Source organism: Homo sapiens, chromosome 7, assembly GCF_000001405.40.
Source record: "Homo sapiens chromosome 7, GRCh38.p14 Primary Assembly".
Classification (NCBI taxonomy): domain Eukaryota; kingdom Metazoa; phylum Chordata; class Mammalia; order Primates; family Hominidae; genus Homo; species Homo sapiens.
Genome location: NC_000007.14, coordinates 92,766,297 through 92,793,066, shown reverse-complemented (window position 1 = coordinate 92,793,066; position 26,770 = coordinate 92,766,297). Strand labels below are relative to the sequence as shown.

General features: G+C 36.8%; 1 protein-coding gene across 3 annotated transcripts in view, besides 2 other annotated features; it reads left to right on the top strand.

Annotated features, from left to right (window-relative positions):
* Positions 1 to 26,770, top strand: part of CDK6 (cyclin dependent kinase 6) — a 231,653-nt gene that overhangs the window by 43,507 nt on the left and 161,376 nt on the right. For all 3 annotated transcript variants that reach the window (NM_001145306.2, NM_001259.8, XM_047419716.1), the window contains exon 3: positions 18,236 to 18,371. In NM_001145306.2, coding sequence (NP_001138778.1) covers positions 18,236 to 18,371 — 136 coding nt within the window. The remainder of the gene's footprint in view (positions 1 to 18,235; positions 18,372 to 26,770) is intronic.
* Positions 10,106 to 10,306: a silencer, noted in NCBI's record as "peak6637 fragment used in MPRA reporter construct". NCBI's record gives its function as "represses an SCP1 promoter by STARR-seq MPRAs in K562 erythroleukemia cells {active_cell/tissue: K562}" and the evidence as "EXISTENCE:reporter gene assay evidence [ECO:0000049][PMID:32103011]".
* Positions 23,987 to 24,526: an enhancer, noted in NCBI's record as "OCT4-NANOG hESC enhancer chr7:92397855-92398394 (GRCh37/hg19 assembly coordinates)". NCBI's record gives its function as "activates a minimal SCP1, AML or CMV promoter by ChIP-STARR-seq in primed H9 embryonic stem cells {active_cell/tissue: H9 hESC(primed)}" and the evidence as "EXISTENCE:reporter gene assay evidence [ECO:0000049][PMID:30033119]".

Here is a 26,770-nt window from a genome sequence, read left to right as displayed (position 1 = left end):
GTACAGAGAACTCTTGTTAAATTTATACGTATTTTGTTGCTTTTGATGATGCCATACATTGAATTTTTTTTAATTCCCTTGATGTTTTATGATATCATTTTCTTCATCTATTTTCTTGCTCACCTCTCTGATTCATCTAGGGATGCTATTCTGCTTGTTTTATGTTTTGCCTCCAAGATTCCGTCTCATCTGGAGGCTGATAACTTCCCAAACTATTGCTTGACTTGTGTCTGGAGCTCTGAGAAGTATATGTTTACAGTTGTTTATTGGACTTTACCACCTGAATGTCACAGACATCTCAAATTAATCTTTTCCAGACTGAGCTCATTAATTACTTCACTCATCTTATTTTCATCTCTTCTTATGGCCTTTGGAAATAGTACTATCATCTACCTTGTCTAAACCAAAACGTGAAACTCATTTCAAACTTCTCTTTCAACTTGTACATTCTGGTAGGTTACCAGATCTTCTGGATTCCACCTCCTAGATATCACTATGGGAGTATAAATTGGTACAATCTTCTGTCAGGTGGTTTGGATCAAGAACTTTCAAAAAATATATATATTTTGATTCAGAAAAAGTGTATATCATTTTATTTTTAAAATGCCACTTCTAGGAATTTATCATAAGATAATAATGAGCCAATGTTACAAGAACAGGGAAATGGTCTAATAAATTACATATAGAATATAATTTAGTGCAACCTAAAAATGGAGATAGATTTGTGAAAGTGGTTGGTACACTTAAACTTTTTTAATTGCAAAACATGATTCAACTTTGTTTAACAACAGTAGAAAATAAGTTCTAAGAGAGCAGGGATCTTGCCTGATGATCCTGATAGACAGCTGAAGAGTATAATGTGCTCAGTCAATATTTGTTAGTTGTATTGGTCTCTCTCTGCTGCTACTATTTCTGTAACCAATCTGTCTATATTTTTTACCTGGGCTTTTGCAGACACTTCCTACTTGTTTTCCTCACCTCCAATTTTATTCTCCTATAATCCAACTTCCATTCTGCAACCAGAGTAGTATTTCCAAGTGACACATCCTACCATAGCATTGTTCATTGTAAAAGTCCTTTGCTTTTTTCCCAGTGCCCATAAGATAATTTCCAGACTTCTTAGCCTGGATTACTAAACTCTCATAATTTCACTTCTGTGTACTTTTCCAGCTCTTCTCTTGCCATTTTCCAAGATAATCACCAAATCATGCCAGACTATCCGCAATTCCCCAAATATGAATTTTTCTGTGTACCTACATACCTTTGGACATGCTGTTCCTTCTGCCAGGACCATGCCAAACTTCCTTTGTTTATCTGGCAAATTCCAGACTGTCCTATGAGACTCAGCTCCCCAGCCACTTCCCCTCGAGGTATGTTGAATGCCTCTTCTTCAGGGCCTCCAACACCATTTGAACTTTTTTACAATTCTTAATATATATACATTCCTCTAGGGCTGGAGAGTTAGCCAGGGCAAGCCTGTCTATTCCTTTGACTTCAACTCATCATCTTACTGCTGCACTGACTTCTCCTATATTCTACCTCAGGGCTTTGCAGTGTTGGTCTGAGGCCTGGTACCAATTTTCCATCATCTGTGATGCAATTAGAAAAATAGGGCCCTGTGGTAAATTTTTCAGAAAGCTAAATCTATTCACATTTGGGATATTAAAATATGCTTTATTTATGAAGTGATATTGATAGTAGATAGTAGAGTATATTAATGTCTTTAGTTGGCAATGTTCTGTCAGAGCTGTAAAGTTGTTGGAAAGTTTCCAGGCCTCTGAAAACCAAAGATCTGGGAACACTGCTGTATCTCATGAGGGTGGCACCAAGTCCCCAAAGTCAAAAGCATGTGAGTCATCCTTGGCTTCTCCTTCCCCATCCCTCCACCCCCGCCACATTTAGACACTTAGCAAGTCCTGCCAACTCAACCTCCTAAATATTTCTGGAATCTGTACTCTCCTCTCCATCCTTGCTGCCAATTCCTTAGAACAGGCCTTCTTTACTTTCCCTGTACTACTGCAGCAACAGTCTCCTTACAGGTGGTCTTACCACACTTCCCCTTACCCATGTCATCAGATTGGGCTCTTTGAAAACCATAAAAAATAGTTGCCCACTTTCCAGAGGAACAAAGTTCTTTGTAGCATACAAAGTTTCTCTCCAATGGGGCTTCTTGCGGTGCTCCTGCTCACACTTTCTTTGGTTTCAAGTGCCCTTTCTTTGCCACTTGCTTGGGTAACTCTTGATACTCTGACAGTTAAATTGTCATTTCTTCTACAAAGTTTTCCTCCACATATGGATGGGTTGCTTCTTTTATCATTTCTTAAAATTCCATAGGTATATACATAAGAGACAGAAAGATGTATGTGTATGTGTGTGTGCGGATTTGAATAAGTATATGTGTATACACTTATGTGTATCTGTGTATACCGCAGACATACATACCTCAGCATTTACAGAATAGTTGATACTTTGTCTACTTTTCCCACTAGACTCTGAATAACTTAAGAAATTTTATTTTACCCTTTGATTTTTCTATACCTAGCATCTAATCTAATGCTTAGAAAATAACAAATATTTAATAAACGTTTGCTGGTTAAATGCATTTGTTCAATGCTATCGATCAGATTTTTACTGTGGAAGGCTCACTGACCAGAGTAGGGGATGAGTACAAAGAGTCTCAGGGCATTTGGGAAACAGGATAAAGGCCCTTTGTAGAAAACTGGCCAAGGGTGTTGAGTGCCTGAGCTCAGGGAAGTGGCAGTGGATGGAAAAATATTTAGGTGGTGGAATTGGTGGTTGATTGAACATGTGGGGAAATGAAACAATCTACGATTATTTGAAGGCTTCTGGGTTTAGAAAATTATTTGGATGGGGGTGTGATTCACCAAGGGGAATGAACTGTGTTCTAGACATTTTGAAATTGAGATGTTCAGAGTATTGGTTGAAGTTGTCCAAGAGATAACTGGGTATGGAGTTTGGAGAAAGTACTATTTTGGAGAGAGAAGTTGGAGATTTACCAACCTCTAGGTACTCTTTGAAGCTGTGACCATAAAGGAGATAACTGTCATCTGTTGCTGATTAGATTGTCATAGTGGTGGTGGTACATTGGGGAAGAAGAGAATAGGTCCAGGAGATCTTGATATTGAAGGTCCAGATCAAGAAGGAGAGAGGCCTGTGAAGGTTTCTAATTTAAATCTTGGTTCTGCCTCTTGTCTCTGTTCTATGATGCTTGAACAAATTATTCTATGAATCTTAGCTTCTTCATCTGTAAAATGAGAGTAATAGTATATACTTTATAAGGATATTGAAAGGATTCAATAAGTTTCCATATATTAAATCCCTGCCACAGTCCCAGGCTCACTGTAGGGGCTCTTAAGTGGTAAATTCAAGAAAATGTTCCTCAAGATATGAGCAGTTTCAAAACAAAGAATTTTTTAATGGTTACCCCAGAGATTACAATTAACATCTTCAACTTATAACAATCCAGTTTGAGTTGATACTATTTCAGCTTTAATAGTATATAAAACTTTTTTCTGTACAGTTCTGTCCTTTCTCCTTCATGTTGTTATTGTCACAAATTACATGTTCATACGTTGTGTGGCCATTAACGTAGACTTATAATTACTGTCCTATGCATTTGTTTTTTAAATCATATTTTAAAAGTTACAAACCACTTACCTATGTAGTTAGTTACCTTTGCCAGTGTTCTTTGTTTCTTCATATGGCTCCATGTTACTGTCTAATGTTCTTTTATTTCAGCCTGAAGGACTCCCTTTAGCATTTCCTGTAGGGCAGATCTATTGGCAAAAAACTCCCTCAGCTTTTGTTTATCTGAGAATGTCTTAATTTTGCCTTCATCTTTGAAGGATGGTTCTGCCAGATATAGAATTCTTGGTTAACAGATTTCTTTTTTCTTCCAGCACTTCTTTATTTATTTATTAGAAACAGAGTGTCACTCTTACATCCAGGCTAGAGTGCAGTGGTGCAGTCATAGTTCACTGTAGCCTCAAACTTCTGGGCTCAAATGATCTTTCTGTCTCAGCCTCCTGAGTAGCTAGGACTACAAGCATGTGCCACCACGACCAGTTAATTTAAAAAAAAAAAATCTTTTGTAGAGATGAGGGGGTTCTTTGTGTTACCCAGGCAGGTCTCAAACTCCTAGATTCAAGTGGTCCTCTTGCCTAGGCCTCCCAAAGTGTTGAGATTACATGCATGAGCCACCATGCCTGGCTGCTTCCAGCACTTCCAAATTGCCATCCCACTGCCTTCTGCCCTCCATAGTTTCTGATGAGAAGTAGTTGTTCATCTTATTGCAGATCCCTTGTGTGTGATGAGTTGCTTCTCTCTTGCTGCTTTCAAGATTCTCTCTTTGTCTTTGGTTTTCATAGTTTAATTACAATGTGCCTCATTGTGGATCTTTTGGTCTCATCTGCATGTACTTAGTAAACACTCAAATAAGTGATCATAATAATGGTGCAGAATTAAATGATTATAATTTAATGGTAACAGTAATGACCATGAATCATCTACCAGTTAAACATAATATTGTGCTTAAAAAGTCAAGAAAATGTTCAATGCATGTTACCAAGAATTCCACTAAAACTTTAATTTTAAAAAATAGTTTAGGGAATTAAGATGGGTAAGAATCAATTATCTAAAATATTCACTTACATGGGACAACCAGATGACTAACAGATTATTAGTATATGAGGTGTTCCTGTGGTTCTTTGCAAAAGAAAACGTCTGCCTTGAAATAGATAAACTTGCAGTTACATTTACAAATTATCTCCCACAGTTTTCATTACCGTTAACACCATGAAACATTTTCCTTATTATCTGAGATACTTCTAGAACAAAGATCAAACTCTAAAATAAAATGGACTTATAGAAATATAGCAAATCATAATTTAATTTTTATAAGTGTTTGCACCTGAACAAAACAACCCAATTTTAGATCCTTAAGTTTAGAAGTTGGTAGAAATACCAGTTTTTCCAGCTTCTCCAACTGCAGTGTGTTTTCTAATATTTTAATATAGTTTGCCATTGGTGATCTTAGAATATATTTCTAGCATTTTTCTTAGTTCTCAACACAATAATTCCCAGAAATTTTGCTCTAATAGATCTAATTTAAAAATATAAGATGTTATATTTTAATTTTTATAAGGATCTTTATTTTTGACCAAGCTTTATTTTGGTTGCTTGCACCTTGTTACGTTACAAAGGGTACTGAATTCTACCATGTAGGATTTTTTTTCTTGGTTTATTTAAGAAACATTAGAGTAATCTGAAGACTTTGTGAGCCATCGTTGTTTCTCTTTTGTTTCGTGGTAGTCTGTTACTTTGACCTTTTTCACCAAGTATCAGAAAAATAATTTTTTCTCATATTCTTTTTTGTAGAGTCACTCCATATTGGGAGGGGATTGAAAAGCACATACTTTAATGCGGCAGTAATGCATACATATTATTTTTTCTCTTAGAACAATATTTTAAGATTTGTAGAGATTTCAGGAATCTAAGAGAACAAAACATAAACAAAAAATTTATATTCTAAGTGGACAAACATAAACAATTCTAAATACAAAAGAATTTATGTTTTTACATGTTTGATTTTTAAAACTGCATTTCAGGATTGATGATTAGGATTTCCTCATTAATTCAGAGGAACAGATTGAAGAAAAGTACGTGAGTGGTAGGAGAAAAAAATCTGAATTGAAAAATAGGCTTTTATGATTCTTATTTTTTAAATAATTTTTTTAATTAAAAATTAATAGGTTCTCACAGTAGAAAGTTTAGATGAGCAAATAGCAGAAAACAACCATTCCAAAATCTTATCACCCAGAAATAGCCACTGGCTACATTTTTTTTTTTTTTTTTTTTTTTTGTGATGGAGTCTCACTTACTCTGTTGCCCAGGTTGGAGTGTGGTGGCACAACCTCTGCTCACGGCAACCTCCGCCTCCCAGGTTCAAGTGATTCTCCTGCCTCAGCCTCCTGAGTAGCTGAGATTACAGACATGCGCCACCACACCCAGCTAATTTTTGTATTTTTTGTGGAGAGTGTTTCACCATGTTGGCCAGGCTGATCTCGAACTCCTGACCTCAAGTGATCCACCCCCCTCAGCCTCCCAGAGTGCTGGGATTACAGGGGTGAGCCACTGCACCCAGCCACATCTTGATTTATCTTTCTACCATTATGTTTACATATGTGGAATCATACTGTACACACTCTTTTGAAACTTGCATTTTTAAAAATAATATATTGTGAATGTCTTTCCATTTTCAATAAAGATGTATCAGTACCATTATTTTAAGAGCCACATTATATATATATACATATACATTATATATCATATATAATGTGTATGTGTGTGTATATATACAATATATATACACACACAGAGCCAGATTATTTATATATATATATATATATATGTATACACACACACACACACACAGAGCCAGATTATTCTTCAGAAAGGTTTTTATCAGTTTGTATTCCCACAGTGATGTGGGCTCATTTTCATAAACAAGTGTTGTGCAGTTTTGTCATTAAACAAGTTTGTTTTTAACCCAGTTTGAAAGGTTTAGTGTTTCACTGAGGTTTTCATTTGTGTTGCTTTAAGTTACTAAGGTTTAACATTTTCTTCTATGTTTATGATCAAAAGTTTCCTTAAAAGGAACTAACTTCAGTGATTGTTTTATTAGATCAGTACCTAATCATAAGTACCTGAGTGAATTAGTGCTGGGATGAATTTACTCACCTATTAAGGATGTGATTATGAAAGGTTTTTGGCTTACAGTGTAGGTAAAGCTTGGTTGGCTTTCTTCTAAGACACAGCAGACAGTCTTCATTACAGGCGGCTGCCTAGTTTTGGCTGCTTAGTCATTTTTCCTCAAGAGAGGCCCAAAGCTGGAGAACAGGGCTTTCACAGGTCAGAAATGGACAGAGAACTAAATGTTGAAAGTTGTCCAGAATGTTCCACACTCTATCTGACTTAAGCCAGAGCTGTTCGCTTTGCTTTTAAAAATACACTTAACTCACTTATTTCTGAGATCAGAATCTCTTTTTCAAGCTCTGTCGGGTGAATTGAAGTGTGCCTTTTTTCTAACTAGTCAAGGGAAAAATGTAAGAGGGTTTGGGATATCAGCAGTCTTCGCTTTTTAACATTTTTCCTGTGAATTTTCTGAACTTCTTTTTTTCAGCCCACCATGTAAAGTATGTATTGGGATCTTTTAATTTACCAAAAACATTTTGGCTTTGGCATTCCCACAATGCCTGTCAGCAGGGTATCTCATTTGTCACAAAGTCTCCCCATCACTGACCTCTGCTTCACTGCAGCTCCAAATGGTGTGCTGCATTCAGAGGCAGAATAACAGAGTGGTTAGAAAATCAGATTCTGGAGCCAGACAGTCTGATTTCAAAGCCCATCTCCACTACTTACTGTCTTTGTACTTTAGGCAAAGTATTAAACCTCTCTACCACTGTTGCTGTCCATTTTTTGTTTTTAAACAGCTTTATTGAGATGTAATTTACATACCATAAAATGCACCTGTGTAAGACTTCAGGTCAGTATACTTACTGAGTTGCACAGCTATCACCATGATCTAAATTTAGGAAATTTTCATCACTCCAAGAAGAAACCCAGTACACATTATCAGTCCCCATTCCTCCACACTCTCCCACTGCTCATTGTCCCAGGCAACCACAAATCCACTTTCGATTTCTATAGATCTACCTGCTCTGAATATTTCATATAAATGAAATAATGGAATACATAGTCTTTTGTGACTGGCTTCTTTCTCTTAGCATAATCCCTTTAAGGTTTATCCATGTCATAGCATGTATTTGTTCTTCATTTCTTTCTATTACTAAATAGTATTCCATTGTATGGATATACCACACCTTGTTTATGCATTCATCAGTTGATGGACATTTGGGTTATTTACAGTTTTGGGCTATCACGAATGATGCCGCAGTGAATATTTGTTTACCTTCACTGCGTCATCATTCAGTGAACATTTGTGTCTATTTCTTCGTCTCTAAAATGAGTACCATCTCATACAGTTGTTAAGATTTTTTAATTAACTAGTAAATGCAATATTTTAGTGTTTGAGTCTTCGTTTAACAGCAGTTACAAAATCTGGCTTACTCAGAATGCCACGCTTTCCTAATGACATCTTGAAGTATCCTCACTTTTACTTTATTTTACTTTGACTTTTCCCTAAGTTATAATTTAGAAAAATTTCATTTATTCAATAAATATTTATTGAACACCTATGTATCAGACATGGCTGTGGGTGCCACTGAGAATTGAAAGAAAAGAATAAGCAAAACGCAAAGAGGCACCACTAGTTTAAGGCTATCTTTAGTTTGCTACTCTGTCATCTCTGACCTGCCAGTAGGGCTTGCGACTTGAGTTCCCCTCACCCCATCCTCTCACCAAAAGCCACAGGTTTTGGGGTCTCTCAGTCCATTCACTCTTGTTAGGCCCTTATTTTGTCCATCATATTTATGTTTTTGGAGTGGCTGATTGAAGGTAACTGTTAAGGAAAGACTAAAAGTTCATCATGTCTAGGTGGAGACCTCAAGAGGTAAACAGTGCCCTGTTCCTGATCTATAGCTGAGGTTGGTGAATTGTTCTTTATACTAATCTAGACCTAATAGTTCCTAATTTTCTCCATTGGCAGGTCGCTTCTTTTTGTAGAGTTGGCTGTGTTCTCTTTGAACTTCCAAATCTATTTTGTATTGGAACTGGACTCACCAAAATTATCAACTGATTATTGTTTAGCTGCCTACAGAAAACAGCTATTGTTTAGCTGTTATCTTTCTCTTGTCTTTGGGGAGATAATGATCCACATGGTTAGTGACTTGGAGTTCACTTAATTCCAAGTAGGATTTTGCCCCTGCTACCATTCTCTTCCCTGCAAGACAACAAATCGCATTTTATGATATGCCTTCTTTGTGGCAGCTCTAAAGCTTTTTTTTTTCCCATAATAGCATGTAGTTAGCATAACAGAGTGATGCTACAGCCTTACTCTTTTCTCTGCCTTTCATTCAGATAAAATGCATTAGCAGTTTGAATAATTGTGTTTGATGACGTAGAAGTGCCTGTAGTGCTTGCTGTATGTAGGACTATGGAAGAAGCTGAATTCTATTATTTAATGTCCAGTTCAGGAATTGATCTGGAATGAGGAGAGGGGTACATAGGCATCCCATATACCCATTAAGCCATCCTAAATAGCTTGTTTCAGGCCCAGCTAGTAGTACATCAGTTCTGTTGCTGATCGTGTGGTAGGAATGTGTTTCCATATACATAGTTTTACTGTTTGCTCTATTTTCAAAATTTACTATAGTGCAAGAGTCACATCTTGTAAACTTGCCCAGTTTAGGGGATTCCCATTCCACATGTAAAACATTTTTTGGTTAACAGATTCAGAAGATATTAACTCCTAGAGCCACAGTGCCAGGTCTATATAGATAGAAGCTGAAACTAGATTAATAGCAACTCTAAAGTTGGAAAGAAGATAAACAATGAAACTTTCTTATGAATACTCTCTTAAAGGCTGTAGGAATAAAATGATTTAGTAAATAAGCAATGTTGATTTTGCCTTCCCTTGTCAGATAATAGCAGCCATAAACTTAACAGTTTAAATACAAAGGATTTCTGTGCTTTAGAGTTGGTTTGACATCCCTGTCCTTTTCCACTTTTCAGCAACAGCTAGTGGGAAAGGGGTTGTTTAATTGAAGGCTTCAGGAGAACACACCTTGCACACTGGATTCAACCTTTAAATTAATTGAACCCTGTATCTTTGTATTATTTTTAAGTTCTTTTTTCTCCTTGCTTCCTCTTACCATTGAGTTCTTTTCTACTCTATGTTTTACATTCCTGTTTGTGATAAACTTGTCCATCTGTCTTCTTCCTTCTGTGCTTTCCTCCATCCAGTGTCTCTATGGTCAGATCAGGAACCTCAAGTAGGGTCTGAGAGGAAGCTGCCTGGCTCCTTGGGAAGGATGGATTGATCTGGTTCTCTGCTGTCGGCTACTTTTGCCCAGTGGACATGCGAATGGAGGAGCCATTTAAGGTGAATAGATTCCCAGCCAAGTCAGAGAACTGGGACAGTCACTTTGAGGACACTGCTACTTCTTTTGTGCTTGAGCTTCACTCATTGTGTCTACTCTGTAAGACGTATTTGAGGCCAGATATTGACATTTTTAAGTCATTTAATCATTTCAAAATATTTATAGATGTCTTAGGACAATTTTTTGTTGCAAGTAATAAAAACCCAACTCAAGCTGGATAAGCAAAACACTGACTTTAGTGACTCACATAATTAATAAATCCAGGGGTAGATCAAACACACTGGGCCCAGGTGTGGAAATAATGTCTTCCGGAATCTCTTGCCCACTGTCCCTTGTTCTGGCCCTCTTCTGCATCCCATAGTAGGTTCACTAAAATGGTGGCAAAGACAGCCATCAGTAGCTGCAGGCTGAGACTTTGCCAGTTTCATAATCCCAGTGTAGAGTTTTACTCTCCCAGAAGTCCTAGCAAAATTTCTGAGACTGATTATTATGCTCCTGTCCACCTCTGAATCATTCATCATCACTCAATCCAGGGTTGTTCACATGCCATCCGTGGGCCCCTGCTGTTAAAACCAGATTGCCAGATTCTAGGACAGGAGTAGTTCCTCAACAGAAAATAAGGGTGTGGCTTCCAGGAGAGGTAAATGGATGGAAAGGCAGAGACCATCTGTGGTTTACTTAATAGGATGTAGAATAAATTTACTTGATGTGATATATAAAGTTGTACATAGTGTTTATAGAATTTATTTGGTACTAATACATAGCCATACATCATTACCTGCATTTTTACTTGTAAGTCTTCTTTCCCACAACTAGATAGTAAAGCTTTTAAAAACAATATCTGTCATATCTATTGGAAACTCTAAAACTGAGTATAGTGCCTGCACATGGTAGGTGCTGGTAAATGTTTATGGGTGCTGCTGAAATCGCAATTTGCTTCTAGCAGCATGCACATTATTGTTGGTGGCAAATACTCCTGGAGCTATACCATTTGGTGCTGGTTGAGAATAAGTGCACACAGAGTCCATATTTAATGAGCAAAAAAGAGAATACAGTGGCCCATATCCGTAGTGTAGGGCTAGTGAGATGTGTGAACATAAATTTGGTGCATACAAGACATAGTCACAGAATATGCTTCATGCACTTAAGAGGAGGAGATTAGATATTTTTAAAAATTCTTCTCGATTCCAAATACTGGCTCTAGTTCAAGCAGAATTTTGTTGTGGCCCTTAGGTAGCTGTGCCAGACATCTCTCAGCTCTTGAACTATTTGATGTCCAAACATTGAAGAGAATGGGGGAAAAAAAAGTGACCGGAAAAAAATCCTCATAGAACTTCCTGTGAATGGGTCAAAGTTTAATCACAGCAAATAAGACAGATTTCCCTTTTATTGTAACCACAATAGAAAGGCAGGGCTTGTGTTTACAAAGCATGTTGTTTGGGAGACCTTTGTAAATTGTAATCTTTGGAAATCCCAAACCTATTGGATGTAATCCCATCCATTAGATGAAGGCAACTTGCCTATGCAATAGTTCCAGAAGAGCAAGTTAAATTGAGAACATGAACAGGAAGTAGTCATTAAGAATTACAATGGGTAGGATGCAGAGTTAATTCAGAGAGATATTTTGTTATTAGATAATTACATCACTAGGACAGCTGGAAAACTGAGTGCTGTGCTGGACTGCAAGCCTTGTTCTCTGCCCTGCAGCTGGCGGGTCAGGACAATAGAGACAGCAAGAGAACTTACTTTGTGGGAGAGTTAGGGGCTTGGCCAACTTAATTGTGAAATGATAACGACCTATCTGCCTTTTTTGGATTGCATTTTGCACAGCTAAACTGAAGGCATAGCCTTAGTTAATGCCAATAACCAGTTTGCACTTTGACTTTTTGAACATTCACTTGGATCACATTATGCTAAGCTCTAATGGATAAATATTTAATGGTAATTTTCCTTTCCTTTAAAAGTCATCTGAGATATTTTGTTCATATTCAATACATTGTGATTACATTTTTCTTATGGAACTGCTGTCATGTAATTCTTGAAATGGTATTTTTGTCAGGTTACAGATTAGCAAAAATTTTTAAAAAAAGGTTTTAGAAAGTCTTAAAATATTGGTCAATATAAGGAATCATGCAGTTGTAGCTATTTTCCAGTTTTTTGGGGTTTTTTTGGTTTTTTTTGTTGTTGTTGTTGTTTTTTGTTTTTTTGTTTTTTTTTTTTTTTTGAGATGGAGTCTCGCTCATTGCCCAGGCTGGATGGAGTGCAGTGGCACGGTCTCGGCTCACTGCAAGCTCTGCCTCTCAGGTTCACGCCATTCTCCTGCCTCAGCCTCCCAAGTAGCTGGGACTACAGGCGCCTGCCACCACGCCCGGCTAATTTTTTTGTATTTTTAATAGAGATGGGGTTTCACCGTGTTAGCCAGGTTGGTCTCGATCTCCTGACCTCGTGAGCCGCCCTCCTCGGGCTCCCAAAGTGCTAGGATTACAGGTGTGAGCCACCGCGCCCAGCCTATTTTCCAGTTTTTACATTCAAGTGTTCAGACCTGTCTGGCTCTTTTGTTTTGCAAGTGTAAGGGTTCTAGGTAGCCTAGCCCCATTCCTTATTGATTTATATAAATACATTACAGATTGTTTACCTCTAGCCAAATACCAGGGATTTTAATTCATGCTTAGCTCAGTTGTTGTATATGAAACTCATTTGTTATATTAAAGTTTCTGGCCGGGCACAGTGGCTCACGCCTGTAATCCCAGCACTTTGGGAGGCCAAGGCAGGTGGATCACTTGAGGTCAGGAGTTCGAGGCCAGCCTGGCCAACATGGTGAAACCCATCCTTACTAAAAATACAAAAATTAGCCAGGCATGATGGTGCATGCCTGTAGTCCCAGCTACTCGGGAGGCTGAGGCAGGAGAATCACTTGAACCCAGGAGGTTGCAGTGAGCCAAGATTGCACCACTGCACTCCAGCCTGGACAACAGAGTGAGACTCCATCTTAAAAGAAAAATAAGAATAAAAATAAAGTTTCTGTTTTCTCTTTATTGCCCACCAAAGTGACTATTATTTGATTTGGGGCAATTCCAGAGGGAGTCATTGTAGACAAAAAAAAGCATCATAAATATTATAGTCTAGCATTTCTAAGATTAATGTTTACAACCATTGATTCAAAATGCATTTCCTACCCATTGTGACTAATATAACTGTTAATTTTTAGTACAATGTTTACTAACCATTAATCAGACATAATTTAAGTCAGACAAAATTTCATAGTTTTGGGAAGAGCAATATTTCCCCAGATGTCTTCCATGGAGTACTAGGTCTGTAGGATGTGGATGGCTAGCCAGCACTGGAGCCAAAAAAGAGAGTATCCTACAGGCACCCTTAGGACTCTGATGTCCCTTGATGCCCTTTGTGAATGTCTGAGAAGTCTCTAATATGCTCCATTTCCTGAATGAAGTTAATAATAATGGCACCTTAAAAATTAAAAAGGATTATTTCCTTGAACCTGGAGGAGTCACTTCTACCTAATACCATTTTTTAAGAATATGCAAGTATATACATTAAAATTTATGTGAAAATGTTCTGCTCTATGGACTATTACACATCTCTTTAAAATTCCATGTTTTAAAAACTACCGATTGAAATGAGTCCTTTTTTCTCCAAGGTTTATCATTTAGGACAATTAGTAGTGGCTTCAGTGAGCTCACCTTTCGTATCTTGAGCATCCATTGAAACTGAGGCCTGGAGTCCAGTTGCTGCAGGTGGCATCAGTGAGTCTTAATATTTTGAAGAGAGCAGTATAACTCTGAGGAAAGCAACTTGGGTGGGTTAGATGTTATTTTTAAATTGTGTCATGCAAAGAGTGCTTGAAAACGGTTTCAGTGAGATGAAGCAACAGGGCATACTGCCAGGGTTGTTAGGTAACTTCTAAGACAACGGTCCAGGGGGCAGATGACTTTTTGTTTCAGCAGTATTTTAGGATCACTTTATTCTCCAGTTATGCCCCCGTCAGAATTTTTTCTCTTTTGGAAATTACTATAATATCTTATATATATATATATATATATATGATAAACTATAAATGCAGTAAGAACTGGAGTTACTAAAATTACTATTGATTCCAGGTAGTGGTAAGCAATGTAATTTTTTCACTAAATATATTAATTATAATGGGAAATATTTTTAAAGTAATGTTTCAGAAACACAACTGAAATGGTCATAGTATGAAACAGCTCTGTGTTTGTATTTGACTTTAGGGACATGCCATTTTTGGTTCACTGCTCTTTTATTTTATTACAAAAATACAAGCAACAGATATAAAGAAAGTTGGGGATTGTGGAACTCCATTTTCTTTTTCAATAGGAAGAAAAGAGTGAAGTTGTCCAAGTATGTGGATTTAATAGCAATAAGCTGGCTTAAAAAAGCCTGTGAATAGTTGTAGTTATCTTGAATTATCAAGGCAAAAGAACTGTTTTGATAAATTTTCCACATATTAAATCCATGCATGATAGCAATCATATTTTTAGAGTGTGAGACTTAATATGATTTATGGTACTATCTTTAATAAATCTGTTAAGAGTTTTTACTTTATTGGAATAATTTTCCAGAATAAGTAACATTAGGGGAAAATATTAAGTTTAGGAATGGATATTAAAACTTAAAAACCAGAATGTTTAGAAGTAGATAAATGTGAGGAAAAAATTTTCAATGGATTCTGGTTAATTTTAATGGAGTTGTATAATTCACCCCAAACTGCCCATAATTAAAAAGAAGCTTGGATCTGGCTATGAAGCATGTGTAGTTGTTGGTGTTCTGTTTTTTGACCTGCCAGATTTAACCTAATTACAGTGGTGGGGTTTTTTTGTTAAGTGTTTTTTGTTTTTGGTTTTGGTTTTTTTTTTTCGTTTCCTTTAAAATTTAGTATAGATTCACAGAGAAGTCCAAATGTGGGGTCCATAAAGCCCAGAAATGCAGAAGGATGACATGGTGAACCAGCAAGGCATTAAAAGTTTAACAGAGGTCCTAGGAATACAACCCAAAAGGGATGTGAAGGACCTCTTTAAGGAGAACCACAAACCAGTGCTCAAGGAAATAAGAGAGGACATAAACAAATGGAAAAACATTCCATGCTCATGGACACAAAGAATCAATATTGTGAAAATCGCCATACTGCCTAAAGTAATTTATATATTCAATGCTATCCCCATCCAGCTACCATTGACTTTCTTCACAGAATTAGAAAAAACTACTTTAAATTTCATATGGAACCAAAAAAGAGTCTGTATAGCCAAGACAATCCTAAGCAAAAAGAACAAAGCTGGAGGCATCATGCTACCTGACTTTAAACTATACTACAAGGCTACAGTAACCAAAACAGCATGGTACTGGTACCAAAACAAATATATAGACCAATGGAACAGAACAGAGGCCTCAGAAATAATGCCACATGGCTGGGCACGGTGGCTCACACCTGTAATCCCAACACTTCAGGAGGCCGAGGTGGGCAGGTCACCTAAGGTCAGGAGTTTGAGACCAGTCTGACCAACATGGAGTAACCCCGTCTCTACTAAAAATATAAAATTAGCTGGGCGTGGTGGCCCATGCCTGTAATCCCAGCCACTCGGGTTGGGAGTAGTACTTGGCTGAGGCAGGAGAATCGCTTGAACCTGGGAGGCGGAGGTTGTGGTGAGCCAAGATGTGCCATTGCACTCCAGCCTGGGCAACAAGAGCGAAACTCCTTCACAAAAAGGAAAAAAAAACAAGAAAGAATGACACATATCTACAACCATCTGATCTTTGACAAACCTGACAAAAACAAGAAATGGGGAAATGATACCCTATTTAATAAATGATGTTGGGAAAACTGGCTAGCCATATGCAGAAAACTGAAACTGGACCCCTTCCTTATACCTTATACAAAAAGTAATTCAAGCTGGATTAAAGACTTAAACATAAGACCTAAAACCATAAAAACCCTAGAAAAAAACTTAGGCAGTACCATTCAGGACACAAGCATGGGCAAAGACTTCATGACTAAAACACCAAAAGCAACGGCAACAAAAGCCAAAATTGACAAATGGAATAAAATTAAAGAGCTTCTGCACAGCAAAAGAAACTATCATCAGTGAACGGGCAACCTACAGAATGGGAGAAAATTTTTGCAATCTATCCATCTGACAAAGGGCTAATATCCAGAATCTACAGGGAACTTAAAACAAATTTACAAGAAAAAAACAACCCCATCAAAAAGTGGACAAAGGATATGAACAGACATTTTCTCAAAAGAAGACATTTATGAGGCCAACAAACATATGAAAAAAAAGCTCATCATCACTGTTCATTAGAGAAATGCAAATCAAAACCACAATGAGATGCCATCTCACACCAGTTAGAATGGCAATCATTAAAAAGTCAGGAAACAACAGATGCTGGAGAGGATGTGGAGAAACAGGAATGCTTTTACACTGTTGGTGGGAGTGTAAATTAGTTCAACCATTGTGGAAGACAGTGTGGCAATTCCTTAAGGATCTAGAACCAGAAATACCATTTGATCCAGTGATCCCATTACTGAGTATATACCCAAAGGATTATAAATCATTCTACTGTAAAGACACATGCACACATATGTTTATTGCAGCACTGTTCACAATAGCAAAGACTTGGAATCAACCCAAATGCCCATCAATGATAGACTGGATAAAGAAAATGTGGCACATATACACCATGGAATACTATGCACTCATAAAAAATGATGAGTTCATGTCCTTTGCAGGGACATGGATGAAGCTGGAAGCCATCATTCTCAGCAAACTAACACAGGAACAGAAAACCAAACACTCATGTTCTCACTCATAAGCGGGAGTTGAACAATGAGAACACATGGACACAGGGAGGGGAACATCGCACACCAGGGCCTGTCGGGGTGGGGGGGTTAGGGGAGGGATAGCATTAGGAGAAATACCTAATGTAGATGATGGGTTGAAGGGTGCAGCAAACCACCATAGCACGTGTATACCTATGTAACAAACCTGCACATTCTGCACATATATCCCAGAACTTAAAATATAATAAAAAAAATTAACGGAGGTAATATGTAAGCAGGATAATTGATAGTCAACCCTGTGCATCAGTTATTGGACTCTATGCACATTTATAGTTTCTTTGAAGAAGGCATTTATTCAATTTTTTTTAAAAATTAAAGTAATATGAATAGTATTTTATTAGCTTTTTCTTAGTATTTATATTACATTCTTGTTAAGAAATGTACTTACAGCTTGTTTATGGGTAGTTTAATTCTTCAAACATTTGGTGAGAATCTGTTGTGCTAAATAGTGTACTGTGGTTGAAACGAAAGGAAATTTTGTCCTTTGGCTTGAATATTCTTTTGACTCCTGAAGGCTTAGTTTTTAAAACTTAAATTTTGTCTTATTTTAAGATTTTTATGGAAGAAACTGGATTCACCCATCCAAAACATTTGTTAATCTGTTGCTTTATTATTTAAGGGCAATATAGTTTACCAATGCAGGTCCCCCTACCCCTGAAAAAAAAGTTTAAATTTTACAATGTTGATTAACATGGTATTGGAATTTTAAAAACTAAGAATGTATGCCCTTTCCAGGGAATGATTTGACTCAGCAGGATGAGGGCTGTCTTAGAAATAAACTAAATTTCTCCATATTCCATCATATTTGTTTTCACAGACATGGTTGTGACACCTTAAATTCCAGGAAAATCTTGATTACAACATTCAGCATCTCCAAAGGATGCTCAATCTATCTCTAGTAATTCTCAAACTGTGAGCTAAGAAGAAACATATTTTGCCTAGACATCAAGTTTTTGAAATTATCCCCATTGGCAAGTTCTATCTAAGGTCCTAACTAAGGAAACTCTCCAAGCGTTCTTGTGCTCCAAGCGCGTTGCTTTCTCATTGTTACTATAGATGTTCTCATGCTTAACCGCACACTCTGAGTGCCCCTCTCCTGAACTTCATGTTGTTATTAAAGTATCAGATCTCATTTGATATCTTTACATATGATCACAAGAAATGATCAACACTGGCCTTTTTTTTCTATTATGAGACCAAATTGAGCGATATGTATAAAACATACAGGTTACTTCTTTGCTTATTGCCACCTACTTAACCTCTTTGTTTTTTCTTCTAGGTTGTTTGATGTGTGCACAGTGTCACGAACAGACAGAGAAACCAAACTAACTTTAGTGTTTGAACATGTCGATCAAGACTTGACCACTTACTTGGATAAAGTTCCAGAGCCTGGAGTGCCCACTGAAACCATAAAGGTATCAAGAATCATCTTCATGTCTTATCAGGCAGTCGACTATTATAGTCTGTTAAGCAATGGCTTTCTTTCCTTATGAAAATTGCCACAATTACAACTTTTAGAATTCGGTATATAGTTAAAAAAATCAAAGAAAATGTTCAAAGATTGGGATATATTCCAGTTCATCAACTAAGTGAGATGTTCAAAGTACAGACATATGTATTCTAGTTCATTAATTTTAGAACTAAGTGGAAAAAAAAACCTTTAGTTCTAATGCATATTAAAATTATTTAAAAATACTTAGTTGTAGATTGTCTTAGACCTTAGGAAACATAGTTTAGTAAGTATAGCTCAGTCTTCTTCTGATGGTTTATTGTCTATGAGAGACATAATTTGAACATTATTCATGAGCACATTGTATATTATGATTGTATAATAACTCCGGGACAACCTATGCTATGTGAATCTGAAATATTACTTGTTAGGCCCTCCTTCTTTCTTCATTTTTCTTATTCATAAAACGTTTATAGGGAAGCCTAAGTAACCAGATACTATGCCAAACTCCTGGGATTCAAAGATGATTGAGACATGCTTTCTATCCTTAGAGGTCAGTAAACTAGATGCAGTATATTGACTGGAAGTTCTTCCTACCTTTAAGTCTAATGGAAAATGCTGCTGATAAAGTTTTGTTGTTATTTGCATTCTGCTTAACTGAACTTCCCCGTAGATCTTTTAGATTTATACACATCATGTGCGGGTCTTCATGAAAACCTTTTTGTCTGTGTGAATTAGGTAGCTTAAACAGACTCCTGCCTTATCATTCGTTGTTTAGAAATGAGTTATAGAATTCACCATCATTCTAGATAGAAGTTAATAGCTAAAAATAGTTTATCTTCTCAACAGACTAAGAAATGTCTTTAGTGATAGCTAAATGACGTTCTCAGATACTGACTGATACATTTAGAATTTGACATACTGAATGATTTATTCCTTTTGTTTTAGATTAATATTGTATTTTTTCCCATCTGGCTCTCATTAAAGAATCTGGTGCTTAACAATAGTCCCATTTCTTCCTGAGCAGTTTCAAGGACATTAAGGCCCTCCAAATGTAGGTATGCCTGATAGTTACCTGTTCTTGGCCATCTTCTGTCTGTGCACCCCTCTTTCCTCTGGCATTCTATTCCACCCCTGAAGCTTTAGTTCTCTCCTTTATGAGTTTGTCAGAAACCCTGTGTTCAGCATGCAGAGCAGGGCATAGTCCTTTTTCTTATACAGTTTTCTAGGCAAATTGGACTGCTCATCATTCTCTTGGTATGATCTGTGATTTTCCACCTTGGTGGCCTTCCTTCTCATGCCATTTCTTTTGCTCCTTCTCACCAGGCTATCTACCTAAATTTTTCAAGTGCCGTCTCAAAAGCCATTTGATCAACTCTTATAGCTAGATGTAATCTCACATGCCTTATAACACTTGTTCTGCATATCTCTACCTCTTTATCTTGTTTTCTGCCTTTAATTGGGATTTTTTAATGTACATATCTCATGTATTCAGTCATCCTCATGTCCTGACAGTGTCTTACACAATGATTTATACACATAGGTACAAAGTAAATAAGACACATTGTCAAGCTTTCTTTAGATGTAAGTATTTTCAAAATTATTTTTAAAATGACTTTCAAAGGCTTTAAACATAGACTATCAAAAAATCATTGACATTTTCTGATACATTTCTAAGTTCAAAGTTATTTGGGGAGTATCTTTTTTTTAAAAAAACAGACAGATGAGGCAACCATATATTTTATATCTTACATTACCACCTACATAGATCTTTTGAGCATTATATTAAATTATCCTAGTATATTGGAGGCTACTGAGTGGAATCATTTGCAAAGGCATCTGTGCAGTTAAAATGTTGATAAGCCAGAGTGGTTTACTAGACTCAGGTTTGATCAGGCAGGAGTAGAAATGAATTGGAATGGGGGGAATCTCAAGGGTGAGGGTGGAGGGGCAAGCAGGATAGGAAAAGGAACAGGCAGAAGGGTGGTCACCAAAGTAAGAAAGGGGAGGAGAAGACAGGGGGCAGTGGCTGAGCCAGGATGGAGCTGGAGGCTTGCTAGAAGGGGGTGATTGTTGCCAGAAGCTCTTGAACAAGGTGACATTAAAAGTTAATTTTTTTTTTTTTTTGAGCTTTTTGTCTATCTCCAGGAAAGGGAATGTCACTTCATTCCGTGTTGAACAGGGATTGTCCTGGAGGCTGTTAAATTTCTTCAGCCATTAGGATCAGCACCCCTTGATCCAAATTGTCAGATACGAGGTGGAGTTGGGGGCAAGGGGCTCTAGTTATTGAAGGTTTGTGGCTAATGTTGTATTGATGTTTTCATAGTAAAATAAACCATAGTCAAATGAAATATTTCAGGCAGTTAACTTACATGTTAGTGGTTAATCAAACATTTTTTGCTAACTTAAAAGCTAATTAGAAGACTCTTTTATCTTCATTCTTAATTTAAAAAAAAAATTCTGAACTATACTAACCTACTTTCCTTCCTTATTAAATATAAGGTTTTTTAAAAAATAATTTGAGTGTTTGTGATGCTTTAAGGTCATTGTTGAAAACTTGAATAATCATTTAAAAGCATAATAAAACCATCAAATGGATAGTTTTAGGCTGAATATATAACTGATACAAAATTATTTTTAATCAACACTCGTATCTTTTGTTTCTGTGATTGACTTGTTTTTAAGAATTGGAATGCAGAATAAACAGCTGCTAAGTAGGAGAATCTGAATTCTGGTTAATTGAAATTTTAAAGCACACAGCCAGAGAACAGAAATATTTTGTTGTTATATAGGCTCATTTATGGGAAGCCTTAATAACTAGATCAAGCAAATATTGTTATTCTGAACAACCTATTGGGAACACAGAAATTGATTCTTTATATAGAATGCTCTGTTGGAATAAGAGCTTCTCTGACTATACTCGTACAGATATTTATTGAATATTCACTCTGTGCAGGGAGGGTTCTGTGCTAGGCAGTTCAGGGACACAAAATTGAATTAGGCATGAGAAAGAGAGGACCTGCTCTGAAGGACCTTTAGAGTATAAGAGAAGAGATAAAATGCAAACACAAGCCTGTGGTACACATTCTGTATGGTTATTTAAGTAGTTTAGGGGTATTTTCAAGTCAAGAACAGACTACTTATGTATAAGTAAGCACAGTCTATATTGTGCCAAACTATTTTTTAAAATACTTAAATTTAAATTACTTTTCAAAGGATCCAAATCATAGGTATTAATATTGACATTGTCTTGCATAGATTAAAACGTATCATGTTGTTAAATAATTATACATATCTAAGATATTTTTATTTTTTTTTGAGACGGAGTCACGTGTCTAAGATATTTTATTTTTATTTATTTTTTTTTTTTTGAGACGGAGTCACATATCTAAGATACTTTATTTTTATTTATTTATTTTATTTATTTTTTTTTTTTGAGACGGAGTCACCAGGCTGGAGTGCAGTGGCGCGATCTCAACTCACTGCAACCTCCACCTCCCAGGTTCAAGCGATTCTCCTGCCTCAGCCTCCTGAGTAGCTGGGATTACAGGCACGGGCCACCACGCATGGCTAATTTTGTATTTTTAGTAGAGACTGGGTTTCACCATGTTAGTCAGGCTGGTCTCGAACTACTGACCTCGAGATCCGCCCACCTCTTGGCCTCCCAAAGTGCTGGGATTACAGGCATGAGCTACCATGCCTGGCCAGATATTTTAACATGAAATATATATAAAATAGAAAATCAAAACAAGACCTCATCTAAGATCATTTAAGCTCAGGGGATTTTCCTCTACCCACTTTCCTCTACCCAGTGTTGTGTTTTCTGTGGCACTGTTTACCAGTTAACAGGCCACTGAAACTCAGGATATTCTAATGCACATTCAGGACATAAATTGCATTAGTTGGGCAGTACTTGGATAAAACTAGGATGCTCCATGGTGTCTTACTAGATATCATAGGGGTAACATCATTTTGCTTATCATTTCATCAACACGTTTGTTAGAAAAGAGCCCATGATGATCTTACTTTTCTAGCTTACTTATATCACCTAACAGTTTTTGAAGTGCACTTAAGTGCCATTTGTTTTCGAAAAATAAAAAAGACATTAAACCACACCATAAGCCATAAGTACTAATAAAGGTTGATAGTTGGGTAAACTTATTGGGGAAACTCTAATTATTGCACGGTGCTCATGTGGGACTTTAATAAAGTACATTAAGAGTATAGGCCTGAACTGAAAATTTTCATTGAGAAGTTCATGAGAATAAAATAAAATCATAGGTGATTCTTTCCAACATCATTAAATATACCTTATTCTAAAAAAAAAAAAAAAAAAAAAAAGCATACATAGAAATCACATTCATACTTCATCTTGGGGTTTTCATCACATTATTTAACCTCTTTTCTTGATGTCCTTTAGGTGCATCCATTCTTGGTTGACAATGACATTTGCATAAAGCAGCCTGTTGGCTGCTGTCCTGTGAAGTCAACAGATATTCTAATTTTCCCTCATAGACTTATTGTTGACATATCTGGCTTTCCTCTTTCTAATTCAGGATATTATCTTTGGGTCTGTTTACTTGTGGAGGAGTTCAGTGCCATCTTTATTAAATTTTTATTGGCTCATTTGAGATTTAATATTGCCTTCCTGGGTTTCCATGCTGAGATTTATGAGGCAATAATTGACACCTTAATGATTGTGTTATTTTTTCTTTTAGAGTACGTGATAAATTCAGAGTATCTATGCTTATATAGCACCTTCCATTTATGGAGCTTTATGAGAAAAAAAAACAGCTCTCAGATTTTTATTTTTCTCTTTCATGCTTTCATCTGCCATCCTATGAGAGAGGGTCAGAAAGAACTGTAAAGAAATTTGCTCACCATTTTTCTTAGTAATTTGTAACTGCCACCCAGAATAAGAACTGTACACTGCAAGATACAGATGGAGAGAGACTCTTATGTAAAATATTCTCCTGTACAGGCTTTTCCAAATGTAATGCCCTCTTTTACTAAATCATTCATTTGGTATTTAGTCTTGTCTGTATAATACATTAATCTTTCCTAGGATATGACCTGGCTTCTCAACTATTTTATAAACTCTTTGAAAACCTAAAATTATTCTGTGGACATTCTGTGCATGAAACATGTTTGATAAAAAAAAATGTTTGATGCAATTGTCAATATAGTTTCACAAGTTTGAGGCACTGAAAGGTCACACAAAAGAACAGCAGCCTCTAAAATAGGACAGGGTTCTTTGAGCTCAAGACCATATGGCCTCTTTTGATGATTCAATCTTGGAATAAAATTTTTTTTATTTATGTATCTTTATGATAAATGAATTCTATAGAGCTTGAGAGGGCCAGAAAAGCTCCAGGTTCATGTCTGTGTGGGTCGTTTTCTCTGTGAATTAGATTTCATTTTATCTTCAATTGAATGTTTCTTAGAGTTTTCTATTGGTTGTAATATTTTTAGTAAGAGATAAAACACACTATTAGGTTTATTTTACAAAACCCAGACTTCAGAAACTGACACACACTGTTAATAGCACCTGTTTTTTGCCTCTGGGAAATGTCTGTTTTCATGAATAATATCTGCTTGCAGTAAACAGTGGCTCTGATGTCAGTATGGGATGCCCAGGGCTGATTCATCTTTCTCAGTTTGACATAATGCAAAGTGACTGACTGGTCCCTGTACTGCAGATGAGGAAAGCCTCTCAGATCTTCTTCTCTTCTCACTCCTAAAGGAATCAAGCCATGGCCCCTCTCAGCTCCTGGTGGTCTCCATTTTGCCTGAATTACGAGCAGGTGATTTGTCTCATCTTTGCAGGACACAGAGCAAATTAACATGAAAATATCGCTTCCCAGAAAACAAGGCAGGCTTGAATGCCCTGTCGCTGCTGGTCATTAGCCATCTGCCACCGACACTCATACTCTGTTTATCACATTTGAAATTCAGAGCAGATGTTGCATAATAAGGTGATCCCAAAAACAAGGCAAGAAATTCAAAGAACAAATACTCTACCATAATGATAAAGATCTTGGAAGGAAATTTTTTTCAATCTAATATCATAGCTGCACTAATTGAATAGACCATGTTTTTAAAAACACACACACATCTCTCCTGGTATTTGATGCAAACTACTTTTCATAGTAACAGGAAATAATTTTAAAAAGAAAGTACATTTGTGAAAGACACCTGAGAGGACTGTTCAATAAAGTCTCTTTAAAGAAGCAAAGTCGAATGTTGGAATAACATAGTTCTGGTTTAAAAGACCTCATAGATCAGTGATGCCATCTTTTACTGTAAGATGGGCCTTAACCTACAGCAATTTGACTTAAAATAGTTCACTCCTCACAGTATAGTAGATCTTTCAAGGCTTTTAACTTGCGAACGTGGTTTCCCAGTTTATTTTCTTTTTGGCACTCAAGACCCTGTGTTTTCTATATCCTTTGTTTTCACTGTTTACCCCTCTACAAACTCCCACCACCGCTATCAGCCTCCCACCTTCAGCATCCCTTGTCTCTCCAGAACTCTGCCCCAGCTTACCCTGGCCTTAGGCTCTCTCCAACCTGAGTCCCAAGATTCTTTCATTTTTAGTTCTTCTGCCCTTCTCCATTAATGTAGCTTTTTACAGTATTGGTTATTATAATGTTTTACCTAGTTGATTTATGCACATTGTAGACCCTTATTATGCCTTATTCAAAGTATATCACTTATAGTATATTAACTATGGTGTTTAGAGACATTCTGTTTTTTTTAAAAAACAGGCATCCAAACTTTTACCAGGAATGTGACCTATATTCTGTGGAAGACGAGCTTTTAATATAGTCTTTTGACTCCAAAGAAATATTTTCTCCACAGAAACCACAACTTTACTGCCCCTCCCCACTCTGCACCCCTCTGCCCCCACACATACTGAGAGTTTTGAAATTTGGGGTTTTTTTTTAAAGACTATACTGCTAAGCAAAAATTAAGCAGCCAGCCTGAGAGTAGACAGGGGGATAAATCAAAGCAGTGCCAGCAGCTGACCACTGAGTGGAATAGGAGAGATGATTTGAAGGATGGAAGAATAGTGAGTCAATACTGAGTATATTCCAAATTCAGGGGGAAATGTAGAGTGAGTGAGCTCTAACAACTGTGGGAGTTTATACTACTAAAGTCAGAAGCCCAGATCTAAAGTGTAGAGAGAAATAAAATCTTCAGTGTAACCTTTCTAATTAGTAAGATTTCAGTGTAATCTTACTAATAATTTCCATTTGTTTCCCTCTGCTCCAATCAGGAACATACATATTGTGCTTTCAAGTATCTTTCATTCCAAGGGAAAACTCAGTAACTCAAGCAACTTCTTAAAGGAGAACATTTTTATGCAGTCTAGATTCTGAAGACTCTCAGAAATAAATCCTTTTGCAAATTCCTAACCCTTATAGTAGCTGAAAATATCAGAAGAGAAAGAGGACAGAATTATGCATGTGTATGTATCCTAACAAAAAATATAACAGCTATTTAGTAGGTTTTTTAAAATCTCCAATCCTATAAAAAGCTACATTAATGTAAAAGAGCAGCAGAACTAAAAATGAAAGAATCTTGGGACTTAGGTTGGAGACAGCCTAAAGCCAGGGACTAAAAGGAAGCTGGGGCAGAGCTATGCAGAGCCAAGGGAACCTTTGGTGGGGTACAGGGGGTTGATAGTGGTGGTAGGGGGATAGGAAATATGGGTTTAAGAAAAGCTAGTTTCTTTCTAAAGGTACTGTAAGACTGACTCACTAAATAAATAATGACTCACTAAATAGGCAAATGACACTTAGATTCAGCTAATAACAGATAAGTTAGAATCTCTTTAGAAAATGCTTCCTCACCCTAGGCATTGAATCTGTTTACAAAGTCCATTAAAACTTGCAGGTAGTATATACCCGTTTATATCACCATGGCAACAGATAGCAGAGTGCTCTTCTGCGTAGAAGGAAGGCTATTTCTCATCTAAATTTAGCCTGTGCTAAACTCCTTGGTTGCAGTCTCTTTTTTTGGCTCTTCTTCCTCTAAACATGGGAACATCCAAGGCTTCACTGTCAGCCTTCTTCTTTTCCTTGGCTACACTTTCTAATCAAGTGATGTCATTTAGTCCAGAATCTTCAAATACCTATTCTCCAGCCTGACGTCTCCCACATGCTCTTGGTACAGATAGTCAGCTAACCATGTAAAACATTGACCGAGAATCCTCTGCCAAACTCAAGCCTTCCCTATCTGCCAGTTGTTTGAGCCCCAAGTTTAGGCATAATTCTTGATTTTTTGCTTTCCTTCACAGTCTTCATCCAATCCATCAGTAAGTGCTTTTGGTGTTATCCCCAAAAGATATCCCCAATCTGA